This window comes from Homo sapiens, chromosome 3 (genome assembly GCF_000001405.40).
Source record: "Homo sapiens chromosome 3, GRCh38.p14 Primary Assembly".
NCBI classification, from domain to species: Eukaryota; Metazoa; Chordata; class Mammalia; order Primates; family Hominidae; genus Homo; species Homo sapiens.
In genome coordinates this window covers 95,284,731-95,288,544 of record NC_000003.12, presented here as the reverse complement: position 1 = coordinate 95,288,544, position 3,814 = coordinate 95,284,731, and the positions used below count along the sequence as shown (strand labels likewise).

At 41.3% G+C, this 3,814-nt stretch overlaps 1 annotated feature.

The window, feature by feature from the left end:
- Positions 512 to 1,140: an enhancer, noted in NCBI's record as "H3K27ac-H3K4me1 hESC enhancer chr3:95006249-95006877 (GRCh37/hg19 assembly coordinates)". NCBI's record gives its function as "activates a minimal SCP1, AML or CMV promoter by ChIP-STARR-seq in naive H9 embryonic stem cells {active_cell/tissue: H9 hESC(naive)}" and the evidence as "EXISTENCE:reporter gene assay evidence [ECO:0000049][PMID:30033119]".

Below are 3,814 nucleotides of genomic sequence, written 5' to 3'. Positions count from 1 at the left end.
TAATTGGGTAGGTTAAACTAGATATGCTTTATAAGAAAAAAAAATTTGACTTCAGTTTTCAAAAGTGTAGAAAAAGATTAACTAAGAAAAATATTACCATTAAAATATTTTCTGAATGATTTACATTTTAATAGAGTGATGATACAAAAAGAGATACTGAATTCTTTTTGTCATTCAAACTTTGTAATTATAGGTGTGTTTTCAGTTAAAAAAATAAAGAAAAGTTTCAGTTCTGGTAGTTTTTTGATTCCTTTAAATACACTTTCAGATGGTGGTTTTTAGAATGATGTGCATGAATCTTAACATAGTCTACTGATTATCTGCCAAATAAATTGCGGCTAGCCTATGATTATTGTTTAGGACAAAGAATCATCTCTTTTACCTATAATGTAGTTGCTTAAGTCCCATTTGTTGTCCCACTATTGCTGAGCTATTGTCACATTAACCATTTTAACTGTACCTGAAAAATCTGTCATGATGCCATTCTCTCTTACTCCAGCTTCTCTATTTCTTTCTTCTTCTTGTTAACCTCTCAAAAGTTGATTGGGTAAGGAAAACCATTCTTGGTCATTGCTGGAGGAGGGCAGCCAAGATGGCTGAATAGGAACAGCTCCAGTCTACAGCTCCCAGCGTGAGCGATGCAGAAGACGGGTGATTTCTGCATTTCCATTTGAGGTACCGGGTTCATCTCACTAGGGAGTGCCAGACAGTGGGTGCAGGACAGTGGGTGCAGTGCACCATGCACGAGCCGAAGCAGGGCGAGGCATTGCCTCACTCGGGAAGCGCAAGGGGTCAGGGAGTTCCCTTTCCTAGTCAAAGAAAGGGGTGACAGACGGCATCTGGAAAATCGGTTCACTCCTACCTTAATACTGCGCTTTTCTGACAGGCTTAAAAAACGGTGCACCAGGAGATTATATCCCGCACATGGCTTGGAGGGTCCTATGCCCACGGAGTCTCACTGATTGCTAGCACAGCAGTCTGAGATCAAACTGCAAGGCAGCAGCAAGGCTGGGGGAGGGGTGCCCGCCATTGCCCAGGCTTGCTTGGGTAAACAAAGCAGCTGGGAAGCTCCAACTGGGTGGAGCCCACCACAGCACAAGGAGGCCTGCCTGCCTCTTTAGGCTCCACCTCTGGGGGCAGGGCACAGACAAACAAAAAGACAGCAGTAACCTCTGCAGACTTAAATGTCCCTGTCTGACAGCTTTGAAGAAAGCAGTGGTTCTCCCAGCACGCAGCTGGAGATCTGAGAACAGGCAGACTGCCTCCTCAAGTGGGTCCCTGACCCCTGACTCCCGACCAGCCTAACCGGGAGGCACCCCCAACTATGGGCAGACTGACACCTCACACGGCCAGGTACTCTTCTGAGACAAAACTTCCAGAGGAACGATCAGACAGCAGCATTCGCGGTTCAAGAAAATCCGCATTCTGCAGCCACCACTGCTGATACCCAGGCAAACAGGGTCTGGAGTGGACCTCTAGCAAACTCCAACAGAACTGCAGCTGAGGGTCCTGTCTGTTAGAAGGAAAACTAACAGAAAGGACATCCACACCAAAAACCCATCTGTACATCACCATCATCAAAGACCAAAAGTAGATAAAAACACAAAGATGGGGAAAAAAGAGAGCAGAAAAACTGGAAACTCTAAAAAGCAGAGCGCCTCTCCTCCTCCAAAGGAACACAGTTCCTCACCAGCAATGGAACAAAGCTGGATGGAGAATGACTTTGACGAGTTGAGAGAAGAAGGCTTCAGATGATCAAACTACTCCGAGCTACAGGAGGAAATTCAAACCAAAGGCAAAGAAGTTAAAAACTTGAAAAAAATTTAGACAAATGTATAAGGCCATTACATAATGGTAAAGAGATCAATTCAACAAGAAGAGCTAACTATCCTAAATATATATGCACCCAATACAGGAGCACCCAGATTCATAAAGCAAGTCCTGAGTGACTTACAAAGAGACTTAGACCCCCACACAATAACAATTGGAGACTTTAACACCCCACTGTCAACATTAGAGAGATCAACAAGAAAGAAAGTTAACAAGGATACCCAGGAATTGAACTCAGCTCTGCACCAAGCAGACCTAAGAGACATCTACAGAACTCTCCAACCCAAATCAACAGAATATACATTTTTTTCAGCACCACACCACACCTATTCTAAAATTGACCACATAGTTGGAAATAAAGCTCTCCTCAGCAAATGTAAAAGAACAGAAATTATAACAAACTATCTCTCACACCACAGTGCAATCAAACTAGAACCCAGGATTAAGAAACTCACTCAAAACCGCTCAACTACATGGAAACTGAACAACCTGCTCCTGAATGACTACTGGGTACATACCGAAATGAAGGCAGAAATAAAGATGTTCTTTGAAACCAACGAGAACAAAGACACAACATACCAGAATCTCTGGGACACATTCAAAGCAGTGTGTAGAGGGAAATTTACAGCACTAAATGCCCACAAGAGAAAGCAGGAAAGATCCAAAATTGACACCCTAACATCACAATTAAAAGAACTAGAAAAGCAAGAGCAAACACATTCAAAAGCTAGCAGAAGGCAAGAAATAACTAAAATCAGAGCAGAACTGAAGGAAATAGAGACACAAAAAACCCTTCAAACAATTAATGAATCCAGGAGCTGGTTTTCTGAAAGGATCAACAAAATTGATAGACCGCTAGCAAGACTAATAAAGAAAAAAAGAGAGAAGAATTAAATAGACGCAATAAAAAATGATAAAGGCGATATCACCACCAATCCCACAGAAACACAAACTACCATCAGAGAATACTACAAACACCTCTACGCAAATAAACTAGAAAATCTAGAAGAAATGGATAAATTCCTCAACACATACACCCTTCCAAGCCTAAACCAGGAAGAAGTTGAATCTCTGAATAGACCAATAACAGGCTCTGAAATTGTGGCAATAATCAATAGCTTACCAACCAAAAAGAGTCCAGGATCAGATGGATTCACAGCCGAATTCTACCAGAGGTACAAGGAGGAACTGGTACCATTCCTTCTGAAACTATTCCAATCAATAGAAAAAGAGGGAATCCTCCCTAACTCATTTTATGAGGCCAGCATCATCTTGATACCAAAGCCGGGCAGAGACACAACCAAAAAAGAGAATTTTATACCAATATCCCTGATGAACATTGATGCAAAAATCCTCAATAAAATACTGGCAAACTGAATCCAGCAACACATCAAAAAGCTTATCCACCATGATCAAGTGGGCTTCATCCCTGGGATGCAAGGCTGGTTCATTATATGCAAATCAATAAACGTAATCCAGCATATAAAGAGAACCAATGACAAAAACCACATGATTATCTCAGTAGATGCAGAAAAGGCCTTTGACAAAATTCAACAACCCTTCATGCTAAAAACTCTCAATAAATTAGGTATTGATGGGAAGTATTTCAAAATAATATGAGCTATCTATGACAAACTCATAGTCAATATCATACTGAATGGGCAAAAACTGGAAGCATTCCCTTTGAAAACTGGCACAAGACAGGGATGCCCTCTCTAACCACTCCTATTCAACATAGTGTTGGAAGTTCTGGCCTGGGCAATTAGGCAGGAGAAGGAAATAAAGGGTATTAAATTAGGAAAAGAGAAAGTCAAATTTTCCCTGTTTGCAGATGACATGATTGTATATCTAGAAAACCCCACTGTCTCAGCCCAAAATCTCCTTAAGCTGATAAGCAACTTCAGCAAAGTCTCAGGATACAAAATCAATGTACCAAAATCGCAAGCATTCTTATACACTAATAACAGAAAAACAGAGAGCCAAA